At 43.4% G+C, this 21,136-nt stretch overlaps 1 long non-coding RNA gene and 1 pseudogene across 3 annotated transcripts in view; one reads left to right on the top strand and one right to left on the bottom strand.

Moving 5' to 3' along the window:
* Positions 1-21,136, top strand: part of LOC105373281 (uncharacterized) — a 29,833-nt gene that overhangs the window by 6,792 nt on the left and 1,905 nt on the right. For 2 of the 3 annotated variants that reach the window (XR_949164.2, XR_949165.2), the window contains exon 2: positions 10,031-10,087. This is a non-coding gene — a long non-coding RNA (uncharacterized LOC105373281). Of the gene's footprint in view, positions 1-7,408; positions 7,448-10,030; positions 10,088-21,136 lie in introns of those variants that run through there. The other variant, XR_949166.2, reaches the window with a different exon arrangement.
* On the bottom strand, positions 10,745-10,808 carry RNU6-1248P (RNA, U6 small nuclear 1248, pseudogene; annotated as a pseudogene).

Genomic DNA, 21,136 nt, shown 5'->3' with positions numbered 1-21,136 from the left:
CGCTAGCCCATCCATTTCTGAATGAGACACCATGTCTTTCTTGTTCACCTTTGTGATCCTGGCATAGTGCCTGGCACCTGGTGGGTGCTTGGTAAAGGTTTGTTGAACGAAGGGTCATAGGCACAAAGCGTTCCCAGGGAAAACTTGTTGGCATCTTTGATGTCAGAATCATTGATTTAGGGTGAGGGAAATGCTCCCTGGGCCCTGTGTCATGCTAAAGGAGTCCCTGAATTGAGAACTTTGAGGAGCCCAGATTTACTATCCACTAGGATTGCTTCAAATGTCTGAGTTTAGGGTGGGGTGGAGTGTACCCTCCTTTACAAGAGAACCAGAAGATTCCTCCCCCAGGGTTTAATGCTTGAATTCCTCTAGGAGAAAGATAAGAATGTTGCAGAACAGAGCTGTGCAAGCATTTCTTGTTGCTCCCTCCTCCCTCTCTCTCTTTCTCTCTCTCTCTGGGGCTGACTGGTCTGTCCCTAAGTTGTGGGTGCTGGTGCTGGTGTGGAGGGGGGATGAAGGGCCCAGGACATCTCTATGGGGTCTACTTGGGACCAGACTGGCCATCAACACACAGCCCAGCCTCTCCACTTGATTGCCACTCCTGGGGGCATTTCGGTGGACTACAAAGTGCTAGAAACCATGAAGTCCCTGGACGCCCCCTTGGCGCCCTGAGCATTCTATGTAGGGATGGGGGTGGTTGAGTGTGTTCTGGGAGTAGGGTCCTGGGGGAGGGTGGTGGTAGTAATGTGAGATTGGTGTCAAAGAAAAGAAAAAATTATTCGGTGGCACTTGTTGAGGTATGATTAGGAAGGCTTTATTCAGGACTGTTGCAATAGGCATAGGGGCCACTGCAATGGGGTTTTGCGGGGTGGATAGAGATTGGGCTCAACTCGGAATATGGCACGGCCAGGTGGGAATGCATAGCCAAGAAGCAGAGTGGGGGTCAGTGACAGATAATTACTAAGAGTAAACGTAAAGAATAAGGGGGATTCTGGCTAAACCCCCTAACCGAGTCTTGCTGAAGACAGGACAGGGTCATTGGACATCACCTAGATGGTGGAGGATGAGGAGCACAGTTAGATATTGGGGATGATCAGATAGCAAGGTGTTGAGGGGTTCTAGCTAAACTGACTTAGCAGGGTCCTCGTTAAAACTGAATTTTTCAAGGAAGTGCACAGATGGGCCTAGGAAAGGATCAGGAGGCTCACTAAAGTTTGGTCAAGCAAAGAATCTTTGTCAAGGGCCAGAAGAGGCCAGAGGTGAGGCCGAGAGGTGGGGAGGGACTAGCTGCTATAGGACCTTGTAAGGGCAATTGGAGGGGTTGGAAGTGAAGGGTGAAAGAGGTGAGTGTGGTGGTCAGGCTGGTGGGGAAGGAGTAGGGCTCTAGGCAGCTCTGGTGGAGAGGCTCCTGAGCCCCATCACAGGTGTTCCAGGGTCCATGAGAACTTCTTCTGATAGCAGGACTGTAGGCCCATGGTCCTGCTTGCCCACTCTTCAGAAGCAGGCCCTGATGGAGAAGAACTTGGCTTTTTATTTTTTATTTTTAAGAGACAAGACCTTGCTCTGTCACCCAGGCTAGAGTACAGTGGCATGATCATAGCTCACTGCAGCCTCCGTTTCCTGGGCTCAAGTGATCCTCCCACCTCAGCCTCCTCAGTAGTTAGGACTACAGGCATTTACCACCATGCCAAGCTAATTTGTGTGTGTATATGTGTGTGTGTGTGTAGAGATGGGGTCTCGCTATATTGCCCAGGCTAGTCTGGAACTCCTGGCCTCCATAATTATCCTGCCTCAGCCTCCCAAGTGTGAGCTTGGCTTTATGAAGATACAATAATTTGGGGGCTTCTCCTAGTCTATTCCCACTCACGATTTTTATTTTTATTTTCACTTTTTATGTTTTTTGAGAAGGAGTCTCGCTCTGTCACCCAGGCTGGAGTGCAGTGGCATGATCTCAGCTCACTGCAACCTCTGCCTCCTGGATTCAAGCAATTCTCCTGTCTCAGCCTCCCGAGTAGTTGGGACTACAGATGCCTGCCATCACGCCCGGCTAATTTTGTATTTTTAGTAGAGACGGGGTTTCACCATAATGGCGATGCTGGTCTCGAACTCTTGACCTTAGGTGATCCACCCGCCTTGGCTTCCCAAAGTGCTGGGATTACAGGCGTTAGCCACCGCGCCCAACCCCCACTCACAATTAAACACAGCCTGCACATGTATTTCTGCACCAACAGGTTGACAGGCTCTCATTGGAGAGAAAATAACCCGCTCCATCCTTTTGTGCAACTGGAATGATTTGTGTGTCTTGGGAAGTTTTAAAGGTCACCAAGATTTCCTGAACAACAAAAATAAGCCTGTAGTAATAAAGTTATTACACCACAATCATGCTCTTCACTGTGAGCTATAGCGGGTGGTCCTGCCCAGGCAGGTGATGACGGTAAAATGGCGCCTCCTGGGGCCCGTTTGATGTTGTATTGGCTCCACCACGTGGCAAAAAGCAGTATTGTTATTTCAAAGCAAGAAAACCCCTAATTTAGCCATGGAAAAGGAAACCTCTATTTCAAAAGGCCTTTGATGCTTTTCAGCATAAACAAGTAAAACTGGCAAAATGTCTTGTTTTGGATCTCAGGCAGTCATGACTCCAGATCCCAAAGCCCTCTGGAGTCTGATACTGAGTTCCTCATGAACTGACCCATCTATTTATGTATCTATCTGTCTATCTATCATTATTTGTGACCACACATAACGTGCCAGGCATAATGCTGGGTACTGAGGCTTCAACCGTGAACAGGATACTGTACTGTCCTTACAGAGGACATAGACAATGGGCAACAGGCCATTGCAATTCACTGTGGTAAGCGCTATGGAGACAAATTACTGAGGATCCTCACCCAGATTTGGGGAGTCTTGGGTTATTTCACTTAGCATAATATCCTCATAATATCCTCAAGTTTCATCCATGTTGTGGCACGTGACAGGATTTCCTTTCTTCCTTCCTTCCTTTTTTTTTTTTTTTTGAGATGGAGTTTTGCTCTTGTTGCCCAGGCTGGAGTGCAAAGGTGCAATCTGGGCTCACCGCCACCTCCGCCTCCTGGTTTCAAGCAATTCTCCTGCCTCAGCCTCCTGAGTAGTTGGGATTACAGGCATGCACCACCACGCCTGGCTAATTTTGTATGTTTAGTAGAGATGGGGTTTCTCCATGTTGGTCAGGCTGGCCTTGAACTCCCAACCTCACGTGATCCACGTGCCTCGGCCTCCCAAGGTGCTGGGATTACAGGTGTGAGGCACTGTGCCCAACTGATTTCCTTCTTTTTAAGGTGGAATGATATTCTATTGTCTTGGATATACCACATACACTGAGAAAGTCTTTTTACATTTAATTTTTTTTTTTTATTTTTGAGATGGAGTCTCACTCTGTCACTCAGGCTGGAGTGCAGTGGCGCAATCTTGGCTCACTGCAACCTCTGCTTCTTAGGTTCAAGTGATTCTCCTGCCTCAGCCTCCTGCGTAGCTGGGATTACAGGTGCGTGCAAACACGGACGACTCTTCTTTTTTTTTTTTTTGTATTTTTAGTCGAGATGGGGTTTCACCATGTTGGCCAGGGTGGTCTCAAACTCCTGACCTCAAGTGATCCACCTGCCTCGGCCTCCCAAAGTGTTGGGATTACAGGCACAAGCCACCACGCATGGCCAGGAAGTCTTTTTTTTGAGACAGGGTCACTCTCTGTTACCCAAGCTGGAGTGCAGTGGTGTGATCATGGCTTACTGTGGCCTTGACCTCCTGGGCTCAAGTGATCCTCCCACCTCAGCCTCCTGAGTAGCTGGGACTACAGGTGTGCACCACCACATCTGGCTACTTTGTGTATTTTTCATAGAAACGGGGTTTCACCATGTTGCCCAGGCTGGTCTTGAACTCTTGAGCTTAAGTGATCCACCTGCCTTGGCCTCCCAAAGTGCTGGGATTACAGGTGTAAGCCACCGTGCCTGGCCCTAAGGGAGGAAGTCATCAACTGGGGCCTGAGAGCTGAGTTCAATTAGTGTAAGGGTGGATGGATAGACGGAGAGAGGATAGGAAGGGGAGAGGGCTCCAAAATGACTGAGTAATTGGCTGGGAACTGAGAGAAGTTTCGGTGGCTGTAGTGTGGACTGTCAGATGAGGATGGTGATGGGAGATGGGGCCAGAGAAGAGAGCAGGTGCCGGGACACACAGGGCTTGTGAGTTCCGCGAAGGAGTTTGCCCAGTGTCCAGCAGGGGGCAGTAGTGGTGGTCTCCCCACCTTGTTCCTATGGGCTGATTTGGGCTGTGGTTCTGGCTGCGTGGCCTCTGTGTGTCTGTTTCCTCAGCCAGATCTTCTCTGAGTGGACAGCACTTCGAGAAGACCTACGTGGGATGGTTGGATCCTGGAGAGGCCTACAAGTAGCCATCGATTCAGTCCAGACACTATTTGCTCTGGAATGTGCGGGACTGGCTCACATTGGCTCCTGAGAGGAGGGAGAAAATGTGCGCAGGGCAAGTTGGAGACGTTATTTCTCAGTTTGCAGTTGGTTGGATCATGTCAGCCCATCAGGATATTTTAGCCAGGATGGAAACGAGCCTTCTAGAGCATTTAGGATGGGGATTGCCACTTGGGGAATTAAAGGCAATAATGACAAAATGAGCTTATCAGAGGACCTAGTAGGATTCTCATTCCTGTGGCTGGGTACTGTTGACAGGAGGGCAGCTTCCTGGGCACTCGAAGGCAGGAGGAACTTGACTCTGAACACGGCTAACGTCCTGTATTGTACAGCTGTGGTCATGCTGTGAAATTCTTGTGTCTTCTAGTTATATTTAGAGGAATTATATCTTTTTACTGTGTCTGTTGGTATTTTTACATCAATCACAGTCCATCTTGTAACAATAAAATAATCTTTCAAAAATGTTTTCTGTTTAAATTAGCCTAAAACTCTCCCTTTCTCTCTCTTTCTCTTTTTGAGACACGGTCTCACTCTGTTACCCAGGCTGGAGTGCAGTGGCACGATCATAGCTTGATTATATCTCACTGCAGCCTTGACCTCCTAGGCTCAATGATCCTTCCACCTCAGACTCCTGAGGAGCTGGGACTACAAGCACACACCACCATGTCCAGCTAATTTTTTTTTGTAATTTTTTGTAGAGGCCAGGTTTTGCTATGTTGCCCAGACTGATGCTGAACCCCTGAGCTCAAGCAATCCACCTGCCTTGGCTTCCCAAAGTGCTGGAATTACATGTGTGAGCCACTGGGCCCGCCCCCTAAAACTATCTCTCATTTTTCAGCAAAAAATCTGATGAGTACTAATTCCCTTTTCTCCCAACTTCGTGTCTAAGATTTTGAACGTTGGGTGTTTAATGTCTAACGGTATTTTCCTTCATGAAAACATGCAGGAGAGGGAGCTGCAGCTGCAAACTAATGTTCTGAGGCCTCTTCTCCCTGTTCTCCTGCAAGAAGTCCGAGGTTCATAGCACTGTGACTAAGAACACATCTTAGATAGCAGGGCCTCCGGATAGAGAGTGCCAGGGGCCAGAGGAGACCAGGCTTCCCCTCCACAGGTATTAGTGTGTATGTGGGGGTGAGTCTGTTGTGGCTTGGGGCTGTCCCTGGCCATTCCACTGAGAAATGAGCCTCATGTGCTGGAGGGCCGCCTGCCACTCTGGTCCTTTCTGCCTATGATCCAAAGGGGAGGATGGTGCCTCGTTAGCCTCATCTCACTTGTTCCCTGTTAGTTGATCGGGAAGTGTGGCCAAACCAGTCTGCCTAAGACTACACACCCTGAACTGATATGATGGAGGTTGACACCAATCTTTTGGGGGGTCTTTTGGAGGATTTTTAAAAAAATAAACTTCAGCTTTATCAAAAATTATGGAAAAATTGCAAGACTAGTCCAAACCCCTCCTGCATATTTTTTACCCAGATTCACCAATTATTTACCTTTTGCTTCATTTTTGCTTTATTATTCTACCATCCATCCATCCATCCATCTACATACACACCATTATATGCATATACATAGCATTATATCCCCATTACATATGCATATATGTGCTGTGTGCCTGTGTGTGTATATTTTTTCTGAACCACTTGAGAATCAGTTGCAGACATTGTGCCCATTTACTCCTAAGTACTTCAGGGTGTATGAAAGTCAGAATATTTAACACTGGCATATTGCTATTATTTAATCTAATTGATATTCAAATATCATCAATTGTCCCAATAATATCTTTTATAACCTTCATAATTTTTTTCTCAGGTAAATGATCCAATACAGGATCATGAAATGCCTTTAGTCATTATGCCTCTTTAGTATTCTTTAATCTAGGGCAGTTCCTCAGCCTTATTTTGTCATTTGTGACCTTGACATTTTTGAAGAACACACTCTAGTTAGTTTGTAGAATGCCTCTCAATTTGGATTTGTCTGATGTTTCTTTATGAATAGATTGAAGTTATGCATTTTTGGCAATAATATCATAAAAGTGATATGTCTTTCTCAGGACATTACATCAGGAGGCACATGATATCGATTTGCCCCATTTCTGATGATGATAATTTCGAGAATTTAGTGAAGGTGGTGGCTGTCATTTTCTTCATTGTAAAATTACTATTTTTAAAATACCTTTGAAATTAATCAATTATTTTTTGGGAACTACTTTGAGACCATATACATATTCTGTTCCTCAACAAACTTTTACCTACTAGTTTTACATTCATTGCCTGAACCAACCACTACTATGATTATTATAAAATAGTGTTTTTAAAAATTATAATATTTCCTCTTCCTTTATTGGCTGGTATACGACTGCTAGGAAGAGTTTTCCATTATCTCCCAGTTATTTACATAAATAAGGGCAGATAGGTTCCTATATTACTCAATGGATTAAATGCATTACTATTATTATTTATTTTGATGCTCAAATTGCCCCAGATTTTGCCAGGGAGAGTCCCTTCAGGACAGCTCCTGTGCCCTTCTGCCGTGTCCTCATCATTCTTCGAGCACCCCCTTACTTCCTGGAACATGAAGCTATTCCAGATTCCACTTATAATTTTTCTGCCCTAGTTCTGGAATTAAACATTTCTTTTTTTGTGGGGGGAAATTAAGCATTTCTTCAAGGAGCCTTTTTTTTTTCTTCTTTTTCTTTTTAGTGAGGAATAGTATTTAGAAACCAAGATCTGGGTGCTTAGTGCTACTGGAATTGCTTCTATTGCCTCAAGGCAGACAGATCTCTGTTCTCTGTATTAGAGGACACTCTGTCCACTCTCTAGCTAACAGGCCCAGCCAAGAATTTTCTTATTCTTTTTTTTTTTTTTGGCAGAGTCTCCAGGCTGGAGTGCAGTGGCAAGATCTCGGCTCACCGCAACCTCTGCCTCCCAGGTTCCAGCGATTCTCCTGCCTCAGCCTCCCAAGTAGCTGGGATTTCAGGTGCCTGCCACCATGCCCGGGTAATTCTTGTATTTTTAGTAGAGATGGGGTTTCATCATGTTGGCCAGGTCAGGTCTCGAACTCCTGACCTCAGGTGATCTGCTCACCTAGGCCTCCCAAAGTGCTGAGATTACAGGTGTGAGCCACCATGCCAGGATGAATTTTCTTATTCTTTAGGAGAATGTACCTTGATTTGATTTGTTATTCACTATTGAATGGGGCCAAGACCATAACGTTACATACTAGCATGTAGATTTTTGTCTAGTATAGCTACTAATAATTTCATTCAGGGAAAAAAAATAAAACAACAAAAGCTAAAATAAAAAATAAAAACCAAACAAATAAACAAAAACCCTAAATCCCAAAGGTTATAGTCTTCTTGCCCTGTATAACATTAACCAGTTTTGTATACCACCCCAAAATTCTATTTTAACATCTTTTATTCAGTGCCTATAATACTTAATCTCTCAAGTTCTCTTGAAACCAACTTTACCATCCCACTCATTCTCTCATTAATTAGGTAAACGAGTTTTTAAAAAACCAGGTACATAAATCTAAACATAATGCTCTCTTTATAAATGTAAATAAATAAAATACAATTTTAACTCATAAAAAATTATACCCACGCTGGTGCAGAGCCTCTCCTTTAATCCCAGCACTTTGGGAGGCCAAGGTGGGTGGACCACCTGAGGTCAGGAGTTTGAGACCAGCCTGACCAGCATGGTGAAACCTTGTCTCTACTAAAAATACAAAAATTAGCCAGGCGTGGTGGCAGGTGCCTATAATCCCATCTACTTGGGAGGCTGAGGCAGGAGAATTGCTTGAACCCCGGAGGTGGAGGTTGCAGTGAGCCGAGATCGTGCCATTGCACTCTCTAGCCTGGGCAGCAAGAGCGAAACTGTCTCAAAAAAAAAAAAAAAAAAATTATACCCAGCTGGGTGTGGTGGCTCACACTTGTAATCCTAGCACTTTGGGAGGTCCAGGTGGGTGAATCATTTGAGGCCAGGAGTTCGAGACCAGCCTGGCCAACATGGTGAAACCCCATCTCTATTAAAAATACAAAAAATTAGTTGGGCATGGTGGCACATGCCTGTAGTCCCAGCTACTCAGGAGGCTGAGGCAGGAGAATTGCATGAACCCGGGAGGTGGAGGTTGCAGTGACCTGAGGTTGCACCACTGCACTCCAGCCTGGGTGACAGAGACTATCTAAAAAAAAAAAAAAATTATACCCTGCCACTTGAATTTAAATTGGCCTCCAATTCCAAATGACCACAATGTGATTTATTTTAACCTTCCCTCTTTCCATATTTGTAATTCTCTTCTCCAACAGTGAGAGATATTGCTTTCATCCTTCTGAATATATTTATTTATTTATTTAATTCAAGAATACACAGAAAGTAGTTTTAGAATCACAAACCCATACTACCATGAAAATTACAACTACCAACTAGGTTAGGGTTCAATGTTTGTTTATAGTTCGTTTTGTCCTTACTGAGAAGATATAGTCAAAATGCTATAGACAAAGTCTCTTGAATTACTTAGTTTCCCCCCTATTCAATAGATTCTTTTTGAATCTGGCTGGGCACGTGGTGGCTCACGCCTATAATCCTAGTACTTTGGGAGCCAAGGAAGGATTGCCTGAGGCCAGGAGTTTAAGACCAACCTGACCAACATAGCTAGATCCTATCTCTCCAAAAAAAAAAAAAAAAAAAAAAAAAAAAAAAAGAGAGAGCGATTCTTTCTGAATCTAAAATCTGTTTAGAACAGGAGTGGCTTGGTTTACTCCACTACCCTTTGTTAGAGTGTTTCTAACTGTGGCGGTTCCTTTCACATGAAAATAGGGCCCTCACTTTTTGTATAGGTGGCCATAGACATATAATAGAAATAACAAACAGACAAGTAGCAGAATATACAAAACAGTTGCGTTTTGATCACTTCCCAGGAGTTGTGCATTCAATTTACCAGTGACTTCGTGTTTCTACTAGCCTTTTGCTGATATCCTAACTACACATTAGTTCTTTCCACCCCACGTGGAAAATGACAGTATTGGCGTACTTTAATTAACTCCAGATAATTTTCTCTATTTAGAACTCTGAGAAGTTGATCTCTCTCCAGAGGACCCCAGATAATAAAAAGCATTCTAATTCTCTAGAGTTGGGCCATTCAAAGCCAGTTTTAAACAAGAGGTTGAATGATGTCCCCACATGTTCAATTTTATATATGGTGTTAGCATACTTCTGGTGATAAGGGAGTTTTGTTAATGACTCATATAAATGACAGCTTAATTTTTAGTTTTTAATAGTTGTGCTGTGTGCTTTGCTCTCATTTTTAATAGTTCGCTGTGTGATTTGTGTCCTGTTAGGAACAGGATTCTAACAAAGCCTAACTCTTGGTGAAATCTGGAGTTTATCATCAGGTCCCTGGCCCTGTTGTATCACCCTTTCCCACCTTGATGGTAGTCTCCCTGTTTTCCTTGTATGCAGTGCCCTGAGGAGATCTTTTTCACACATTTAAAAGTCTTCTTTCATCAAAGTATCTGAAAGTCAGTCACATGAAGTTGCAAATAACAGATAATAGCTTAAAGTGTCACTCTTCTCTCCTAGACTCCTACAGGACAACCAGGGACAATCATCTTCACAGGAACCTATCCTCCCTGCTGGGTATGTAATTTGCATAATTTATAGCGCTGGGTGCAAAATGAAAATGTGCTTATCTTGTTAAAAATGCAGGAAAAAAACTGTAATTAAAATACTAAAATATAAAGCCTGTGCGGTGGCTCACGCCTGTAATCCCAGCACTTTGGGAGGCTAAGGTGGGCGGATCACTTGAGGTCAGGAGTTCAAGACCAGCCTGGCCAACATGGTGAAACCCTGTCTCTACTAAAAAGACAAAAATTAGCCGGGCACGGTGGTGGGGCGCCTGTATTCTCAGCTACTTGGGAGGCAAGAATCGCTTGAACCTGGGAGGTGGGGATTGAAGTGAGCCAAGATCGTGCCACTGCACTCCATCCTGGGCAACAGAGTGAGACTCTGTCTCAAAACAAACAAACGAACAAACCCCTAAAATATAAAGCTTTTTTTTAAAAAAACAATTTTTATAAAATGTAATAGGGATAATAGTGATATATGAGTAATGACTAAACCTACAAATTGCAAAAATGTACCATTTTTTGTTTCACCAATTTATATAATACAATGGATAATAATACTTTATTAATGTGAAATCTTGATTGGTCATAAGATTTTTCTGACTCACTTCTCTGCAAATCATTTCTAAAGCCATCAAAATTTATATATATATATATTTTTTTTTTAAAAAGGGGCTATGCTAATCTTCTCTGTATCATTCCAATTTTAGTATATGTGCTGCTGAAGTGAGCACCAAAATTTATATTTTCAAGATGATGACAGCAGAGTAAGAAATAAAAATAAAATCCTAAGCCTCCCAACCGACTGAATGGAGTGCCTCTCAGCCAAGTGGACCCCAGAGGAACCTTAAAAACTGAGTTCCCAGCCATAAGGGGATGGGAGGTCAGATACACCTCAATATGCCCTATCCTTATTCATCTTTAACCAGAAATTTTTCCTAAGGAGTACACGGAAATCAGCCCTGGGGAACAAGATACAGATGACTCTACTTCATTGCCTTTAGCCAGTCATCTGAGGCCATGACTGGACTCCCCCTTCCTTTTTGTGGTTTTTTTTTTTTTTTTTTTTTTTTTGAGACGGAGTCTCGCTCTGTTGTCCAGGCTGGAGTGCAGTGGCGTGATCTTGGCTCACTGCAAGCTCCATCTCCTGGGTTCACGCCATTCTCCTACCTCAGCCTCCTGAGTAGCTGGGACTACAGGCGCCCGCCACCAAGCCCGGCTAATTTTTTTTGTATTTTTAGTAGAGACGGGGTTTCACCGTGTTAGCCAGGATGGTTTTGAAGATCTCCTGACCTCGTGATTCACCTGCCTCAGCCTCCCAAAGTGCTGGGATTACAGGTGTGAGCCACCGTGCCTGGCCTTTTTGTGGTTTTAACACAGCAACTAACCAGCATTCCTTCCTGGTAAGAGATCACTGACCACAGAGTGGTTCTCAGCAGTTTGCAGAAGATGCACGTTGATGGTTTTTGTGTTCTCTGTTTCACCTTTTGATGTCAGAGGGCCAAAAACTCCACCCTTGGATCATGCAAGCATCATCATTTTTTGAACATGTGACGCATAAAGAGGCATGAAGCCCAATTGCACATGCACATGTTTCTCTTTTCATAAATATTCATGACTCCTCCTATTGTGTACTAAATATGTATACTTAGCCAAGCCATTCATTATACATTCCTGTTTTATCCATCCCTGCCTCGAAGTACCTGCTTCTGACTTCTGTCACAGGCTACACTTCCCAGCCTGTAGGAATGGCCACCTTGCAGATTGCAACACTTCATGAGAAATAAACCTCTTATTTCAAAATTTATGAACCTCACCACTCGTTAGTTGACAAGAGTATTAACCTAAGCATGGGGCCCCTCTTGGAGCAGGGCCCTTATGACTGCATAGGTTGCTGCCCATGAAGCTAGCTAGCCCTGCTGACCTTGTTGCTGGTTTTCCAGGAGTAGATGCCGAGACTGTGCTTGGTGTACAGAGTATTTATTAGGAATCAACATCCGTGGATGAGAGGAGGAGGAAGCAGTCTTGGGCAGAGGGAAAAGTCAAAATGTGATGCAATTGTGACAAAGCTTTGGCCATTCCTATGGGATGTTCTGGACCATACACGGCCCATCAGAGATGCTAGATTAAGCCAAAATGTCTGTGTCTTTATACCTTACTTCTATCAGTCATTGGATGTGAACTGCCCCAACTTTGGGAGGTGGGATTAGCAGAAAGTTTCCAGGTCTCAAATCCTTTAGAGTTTGTTTCAGTTGCAGAGAGCTAACTCAACCAAGGGCATGACCCTCCCAGGCTGAGCAACATCCTGCTTTCTCTTCTGAAGAAAACAGTAGCAAACCAAATCCAGCTCTCTATATATGATAATATATCACAGCCAATAGCTGAGGTCAAGAATAGTAGATTGACCTCGTGTGGTGACTCACGCCTGTAATTCCAGCACTTTGAGGTGAAGGTGGGAGGATCGCTTGAGGCCAGGAGTTTGAGACCAGCTGGGCAACATAGTGAGACTCTGTCTATACAAAAAATTAAAAAAAAATTAACCTGGTATGGTAATGTGTGCCTGTAATCCCAGCTACTTGGGAGGCTGAGGTGGGAGGATCACTTGAGCCTGGGACGTTCAGGCTGCAGTGAGACATCATCGTGCCACTGCACTCCAGCCTGGGTGACAGAGCAAGACCCTGTCTCAAAAAGAAAAAAAAAAAAAAAAGGAAATTGCTTAAACATTAGGGAATCAGAGAATCAGTCACTGATGGATTGATATATATTAACAGAATGATGCATAAAGATACAGATATAGAAAGGTTGAAAATAAAATGATGGAAAAAGATATACTATGTGAACAGTATGAGAAGGAAGCTGGCATAACTATATTAAAATCAGACATAATACTTTAAGGCAAAAATCATTATTAGAGTTAGAATGAGGTTGTTTGTGATGATAGAGGCTCAAATCAAGAGGAATGTTAAAAAGGAAGAGGGATAACTCAAGGGAAGGTCAGCGAAGATTGTGGAGGAAATTGTGTGTTTCCAGGAAGCTCCAGGCTCCTCACATTTTCCCCACCAGCCAGCAGATAGATATTCCATAGTTTAATTTCTTTAGCTTAGTGCTTTATTGTATAGTTAAAATTAAAAAAAAGAAAGCAAGAAAGGAAGGAGCCATCAAGTTATGAAAGGACATTGAAGAAACTTAAATACATATTACTAAGTGAAATAAGTTGTATTAGTCCATTTTCATGCTGCTGAAAAAGACATGTCTGAGAGTGGGTAATTTATAAAGAAAAAGAGGTTTAATTGACTCACAGTTTCACATGGCTGGGGAGGCCTCACAATCATTGCAGAAGGTGAAGGCACATCTTATATGGCAGCAGACAAGAGAGACCTTGTGCGGGGAAACTCCCATTTTTAAAACCATTAGATCTTGTGAGACTGATTCACTATCATGAGAACAGCACTGCAAAGACCCGCAAAAGTCATTATTAGAGATAGAATGGGGTTGTTTGTGATGATAGATGCTCAAATCATTTTTCCCCATGATTCAATTACCTCCCACCGGGTCCCTCCCACAACATGTGGGAATTGTGGGAGCTACAATTCAAGATGAGATTTGGGTGGGGACACAGCCAAACCATATCACTAGTCCGTCTGAAAAGGCTACATAACATATAATTCCAAATATATGACATTCTGGAAAAGGCAGAGCAATGGAGACAGTAAAAAAAAAAGATTTCTGGGTGTTTGGTGAGGGGTAGATGAACAGGCAAAGCACAGAGGATTTTTAGGGCAGTGAAAATACTCTGTCTGATACTATAATGGTGGATACATATTATCATATATTTGTCAAAACCCATAAAATATACCATACTAAGAGGGAACCCTAAAGTAAACTACAGTGATAATGACATGTCAACATAGGTTCATCGATTTTAACAAATGTACCTCACTAGTGTGAGACATTAATAATTGGGAAGCTGTGTGTGTGTGAACATCTTACTTTCTTCTCAATTTTTTGTAAAGCTAAAACTGCTCTGAAAAATAAAACTATTAATTAAAAAAATTAATAGGAGTCTGTGTACAGAGATTCTTTTTGTACAAGGAAAAAAACCAACTCAAATTAAGCCAAAAACAAAAGTAAATGCATGATAGGTCTTGGTCCTGCTGCTTGATGACTTAAATCTAAGGTTATGGCAAAACATCTGAAGCTCATTGCCAGGCTGTGATGGTGCAGGACCCTAAACAGAATGCTCACAATGGAGGGGCTCATGACATTAAGCCACAGAGGCACTATGAGAAGCTTGCCACAGGTGACAGCGACAGAGCTGTGAAACTTGCCTGTGGATCTATAATTTGGAAGTGGCCCACAAGATGAACTCCATGGGAAAGAGTTGGGCAGATAGATACATGGCAGGGCTGCTGAGTCCTGTGTGCAGGACACCCAACACGAAAACCTCATCCATTTTGTGCTGTCGCCTCTTTTCTTCCTCCAAAAACCCATATGATGTATATTTCTCTTACCTTTTTTCCCTGCAGTAAACCTAATCCTATAGATGCAAGAAGGCCTGCATATACAGAAGCAATCCCTGCAGTCAGCAATGGAGCCTCTCTTCTCTTAAGTGACAGAGAAACTGAGTCACAAAGTAGTCTAGGAGTAGAATGATGGTTGCTAGAGGATACAAGGAGTGGGAAATGTGGAGTTGGTGCTCAATGGAGATAAAGCTGCAGTCTTGGAAGATGAAAAGATGAAACCTGCGGTTTTGGAGATGGATGGTGTGATGGTTGCATAACAATGCGAATGTACTTAGTGCCACTGCACTGTACACTTAAATGCTAAACCTAGTACATTTTATGTTATATATATTTTATCACGGTAAAAAAAAGTCCAAAGTAAATGCATGCTAAAGATTCTGGAATGTCATTGTAAAACCAAGGTAGAATACGCATGCCTCAGGAATAACCTAAACAGAGACTCAGATAACATTGGGATCCCCTTTTCAAGGTGGGAGGAAAAGTGCCCAAACTTTATTTTTCACAGCTTCAACCATCAGATTCAAGTCCAAAAATCTAGGGAAAAAACTCATTGACCCATGTTGGGTCAGGTACAGTCTCCCATATCAATCAACTATGCACAAAATGTGCCCATGCCACCAGGACTGTGGGGTGTGTGGTGGCCAATTTTGGTAAATACTCCATGTGCATTTGAAAAGAACACGGACTTTGCTGCTGTTTGGTGCAGTATTCTACATATGCTAAGGAGGCTAAGTTTGTTAATTGTGTTATTCAAATCTTCTATATCCTTATTGGTATTTTTGTCTGCTTGTTCTATCCGTTACTAAGAGTATTGTATTAATATCTCATATTAAGATTGCATATTTTCCTTTTTGTCTTGCCAATTTTTATTGTACATATTTCGTGGCTATGTTGTTATAAGTATACAGTTTTACTACATCTTCCCAGTGAATTGATCTTTCATGATTATGAAATGTTTCTCTTTATCGCTAATAATGCTTCTTGCCTCAGGGTGTTCTTTTTCTGATATTATATAGCTATATCATCTTTCTTTTGGTGTTTGCATGCATTTCTTTCTGTACTTTTATTTTTAACTTTTCTATATCTTTATAGTTAAGCTATGTCCCTTTGTTGCTTTTAACTAGGCTGAGAATTTTTTTAATGCAATCATTTAGATTTAATGGAATTACTAATATGTTTGCATCTAAACCTACTTTCTTCTTTTTGCTTTTTGTTTGTCCCATCAAGTCTATGTTTTCCTTCCTCTCCTTTTTTTTTTTCCTTTCTTTTGGATTAACTATTTTTTATTATTTCATTTCACCATTAGACTGGTTTTTACTATCCTTTTGGTGGTTATCCAAAATGTCAATAATGCAGAGGCTAAGAAACCCTGACTAACCTCTTATTTTCTCTAAACTGGCAGTAAAATCTAGAGGTTTGATTGGATTCAGTTTATTTTTTGGGGGGTGGACAGAGGTCTTCACAGATGAACCTATATTGTACACCGTATTATATGAGAAGGCAATAATGTCCCATGCATAGATGCACAGATTGATAAGTGGGCTTAGGTGTTTCAGTCAGATCCATCTATTATAAAGTTCTCCATTCGCCTTTCATCTAATTGTGTTAGCATCCATTGGTGATGGCTACCTAGACTCATTATGTCATTAAGGGTTGCCAGACGGTGACTCCTCTATCACTTGTTCTCCTATTTGCTGCAATTCTTAAGAAGAGCATTGCCTTGCCAACTACTTACAGTCCACACAGGAAAGGTAGGATAAATGCATGATTGATGAAGCAGGAAAAGAGTGTTACTATGCAATATTACACCAAGCACTTGGTTTTAAATTAATCTGAGGCCTGTTGGAGGAAACAGACATCTAGGGGGCAGCAGAGACCACCAGTTGCTGGAGCCATCACTGATACCTTTAACATGAGTTACCTCTGACTGCTGTCGCTGCGCAGTTTAATTTCAGCTGGCTAGAATCCCAGCTGCTCTGAGAGGCCATATTCCCTTGCTGGCTGCAGTGAGGAGCTGGGTTTGTCTCTGGTGCCTCCTGGTCCTTGTTACCTGCTGCTGGAAGGTGAGAGAGTATCTCACCTGGGACTAGCAGAGGAACCCAGCAGTCCTGTGTTGGGGCTAAGGGGGAGATGTGGAGGGGAGAGTGGACTCTGTGACAAGAATGCAGACTCCATCAGTTCAACTCCCTGGGTGCATTCTACATAAAGTGATCGTTTGTCACTTTAAACAGTGTCAATATGGTATCTTGGATAAATGTGTGGGCTTTTAGCTAACACACTTGGGTTCCAATCCTACTCCTGCTACTGAGGAACTGTGGATGAAGCTCAGCTTTCTCACCTGTAGAATGTGGCTGGTGATAGTTGCTATTGCACGGCATTGTTGCAGAAGCAGGAGATGGTGTGTGTAAAGGGGTCAGCCGGGGACCTGATGAGCAGGCGTGTGTGTGCACCTGTGTGCTGTCGGAGCAGGGAGCCCCTCACTATTCCCTGGTGAGGCTCGGCCCAGCTCCCAGGCTGATAGCTGTGTTCAATGCCCAGCAGCCTTTCGCCTCCAGAGAAGTGTAGCTAGACAGGGTGCACAGGAGGGCTGGGCTCCAGGCTCCCATGCCCTCTGTGTCAGATGAGCACAGGAAGACCCAGGGTTAAAGTGACTTCTCCAGGTCACTCAAGAATGTGGCAGAGCAGAGGCTGGAATCTAGATTTGCAGACTCTCAGTCTTGAGCTTGTATTGGCTGCATCTAAGTTACTATTTTCTCTGGATACTCTTACTGCTTCTCGAAATCCTTAGGTTGTCTTGGTTTAAGTTGTAGTCGCAAACATTTTCAGAGACTCACACGTGAAATGAGCCCTCAGTATACATGTGTACTTTAATTCATACAATTATACTCATCACGGGCTTAACTATACTCTGTCTCTTACCAGTCCAAGAGTGTGAAATACAAAGTTTGAATATGACTTATATATTTAGCTAATTATTAATTCATCAAGCATGTATTGAACTCATATTATGTGCCAGGTTCTAAGTCACAGAAAGAAATTTGAGATAGGCTGGGTGCAGTGGCTCATGCCTATAATCCTAGCACTTTGGGAGGCACAAGCGGGTGGATGACCTGAGGTCAGGAGTTTGAGACGAGACTTGCCCACATGGTGAAAACCCATTTCTACTAAAAATACGAAAATTAGCTGAGTGTGGTGGTGTGCACCTGTAATCCCTACCTAGGAGGCTGAGGTAGGAGAATCGCTCAAACCCGGGAGGTGGAGGTTGCAGTGAGCCGAGATTGTGCCATGCCACTGCACTCCAACTTGGGAGATGGAGCGAGACTGCATCTCAAAAAAAAAAAAAAAAAAAAAAAGAAATTTGAGATAAAGGGAATAGAGACATAAGGATGAAAAATACAGTCCCTGCATGCAAGGAATTTCAACTTTAATGGGAGTAGTGGGGAAGATATGGAACGGAGAAGCCAACCTTACAATTCAGTGAGATGCATGGGCTAGCCTTTACCTTGAGAGACATTCTGGAGGAGTGATATTTGAACTTAATCTAGAAAGGTGAGTCATGCCTAAGCAGGGAGAGACCAGAGTGACTGTCCTTGCAGCCAGAAAGAGCATAGAGGTGTGAAAAGGCATTGTGAGTTTGGGGGGTGTTTCCAATGTTAGTTCTGCATGGAGGAGATATGGGCAGACAGGGTTGTGACGGTGACAGGGCTGGGACACCCAGACGCTGAGGGTCACAGTGCTGTACCAAGGAGTTGGGCTATCATCTTTAAGGCAAGGTGAGGAGCATTGAAGTACCTTAAGTGACAGGATCAGACTGTGGAGATTGGAGGGATTTGAGAGATTTGGAAGGCTATTGTTGTGCTGCAGGCTAGAAGGAATAAAGAATTGTACTTAAGTCATGGCTGTGGGGATGGAGAGGAAAGAAATGACTCAAGGGATGGTTACAAGAAAGACTGGACAGGACATGTGTTTAAACAGTGACCATGGGAAGGATCTGCAGCAGTGTTTTGGGACGAACCTTGAGAAATTGCTACCATCTGCCCAAGTTCCCACCTGGCTATTACAGGTTCAGCTTGAGGCATTTCTCTAAAATTCCTTGTAAATTGAAAGTCTAACAAGAACCTATACTAACAAGGACCTGTTAATGTTTTATCCTCCTTTGCCTTTCCTTTGAAAACCCAGTGGAGAACTCAGTGTTCTCTTTGGACTAGTGACTGGGGAGCTGGGGACGGGAGATGAGGCTCTTTCCAAGTGCAGCCTAGACCCTAACTGCAAGGGAGAGTGACTGAGGGGCTGTGGATACCACCTTCCCAGCTGATTTCACTGCCAGGCCTGCTGTGGGAACAGGCTTGTTAGATTTGAGGCTCCCTGGGCAGGATTCTTAACTCGTAAATATCTCCCTCTCTACCTGCTGTGGGGATTTCTTTTTTTACTGTCCATGTTCAAAATTGGATTAATTGTAATCCTTGATTCATAATACTCTCATTATTATTAGTCAACACATGGCTTTCTTTACTTTACTTTTCTTTTCTTTTCTTTTTTTTTTTTTTGAGACAGAGTATCACTCTGTCACCAGGCTGGAGTGCGGTGGTGCAATCTCAGTTCACCGCAACCTCCGCCTCCCAGGTTCAAGCGATTCTCCTGCCTCAGCCTCCCGAGTAGCTGGGATTACAGGCACACACCACCATGTCTGGCTAATTTTGTATTTTTACTAGAGATAGGCTTTCACCATGTTAGCCAGGATGGTCTTAATCTCTTGACCTCATGATCCGCCTGCCTTGGCCTCCCAAAGTACGGGGATTACAGGTGTGAGCCACCGTGCCTGGCCAGCACATGGCTTTCTTTAATTTCTTTAAGTTATTATTAGTAGTATGACGAACTGGGCACAGTAGCTCATGCCTGTATTTCCAGCTCTCTGGGAGGCCAAGGTGAGAGGATTGCTTGAGCCCACGAGTTTGAGATCAGCTTGGGCAACATAGGGAGAGCCCCATCTCTACAAAAAATACAAAAAATACAAAAAATTAGCCAGGCATGGTGATGTGTGCCTGTGGTCCCAGCTACGTGGGAGGCTGAGATGGGAGGATCAGTTGAGCTCAAGAGGTCAAGGCTGCAGTGAGCCACGATCATACCACCGCACTCCAGCCTAGGCAACACTGAGACTGTCTCAAAAACAAAACAAAAAGTATGATGAATTCCTATGTATCCACCACCCCACCCGAGAACTAAAAAATTACTTAAAACTTACGTCTCTCTATATGCTCCTTCCTCACTTCGTTTCCCACTCTTCAGGGTGAAAGAGACCACTATTCTGATCTTCGTGTATATATTTTCTTTTTTTCATGAGTTTTATTTCATATATTTGTATGCATATGTTATATTTTCCACATTCAAAATTTCTCCACTAAACAGGGAAAAGAGAAAGACCCTTTACATGGAGAAGAGCTAATATGCACTCCTTGAAATTAGAGCCTGGCAGCTTCCCGTATATAATTCTTATTAAAAATATTAAAAATTGGCCGAGTGCAGTGGTTCACACCTATAATCCCAGGACTTTGGGAGGCCAAGGCAAGCAGATCACTTTAGCTCAGGAGTTCGAGATCAGCCTGAACAATACGGTGAACCCCCCCAATCTCTACTAAAAATACAAAAATTAGGCAGGCGTGGTGGCGGGTGCCTGTAATCCCAGCTATTGGGAGGCTGAAATGGGAGAATCGCTTGAACCTGGGAGGTGGAGGATGTAGTGAGCCAGGATCGTGCCACTACACTCCAGCCTGGGTGACAGAGTGGGACTCCATCTCAAAAAAAAAAAAAAAAAGAAAGAAAAAAGAAAAAAAAAGTTAAGAATTCCTCTTTCAAAAAAAAAAAAAACTTTCAATAGAATGAATAGTCCAAGAAAACATCATGTTGGTGCTCCAGCATGTTACCAAGCACCCCAGGGGGCATATGTCCCCAGTTAGAGAGCCACTTCTGGCAAGGTGGCTCTGATAGGCTGAGAGAGGTACAGCCCTCTGGCCAAGGAAGTCAGGGGCTAGCTGCTGGGGTTGCAAGCACACCAGAGCTTGTGAGTTTGCAAACATACAGGGCTCCAAGGGGTGTGGGCATTGATGTTATGTGCCACAGCAACCAGTCCCTTAGCTTGGTCAGTGACATGGGACCTGTGTGATCTGGCTTAAGAAGGTACCAGGGCCAATTAGATTTTTCTCTTTTGGCAATTTAGACAGAGAAACACAAAGGGATTATTTGCTAGTAAGTTGTGAGAGCTGTATTAGGCAAGTCATAAGACAGAGTTGGAGCTGGAGAGGCTATGATAGGCCATGGGGAAGTCCAAGTTTTGCCGGAGCAAAAACAATGAGTAATCAGCCGGATGCGGTGGTTCACGCCTGTAATCCCAGCACTTTGGAAGCCAGGTGGGCAGATCACTTGAGGTCAGGAGTTCGAGATCAGCCTGACCAACACTGTGAAACCTTGTCTCTACCAAAAATACAAAAATTAGCTGGACGTGGTGGCAGGCGCCTATAATCCCAGCTACTTGGGAGGCTGAG

Source organism: Homo sapiens, chromosome 1 (assembly GCF_000001405.40).
Source record: "Homo sapiens chromosome 1, GRCh38.p14 Primary Assembly".
NCBI lineage: Eukaryota > Metazoa > Chordata > Mammalia > Primates > Hominidae > Homo > Homo sapiens.
Note: the sequence above shows the minus strand (reverse complement) of the source record. Positions and strands in the feature narration are given on the sequence as shown.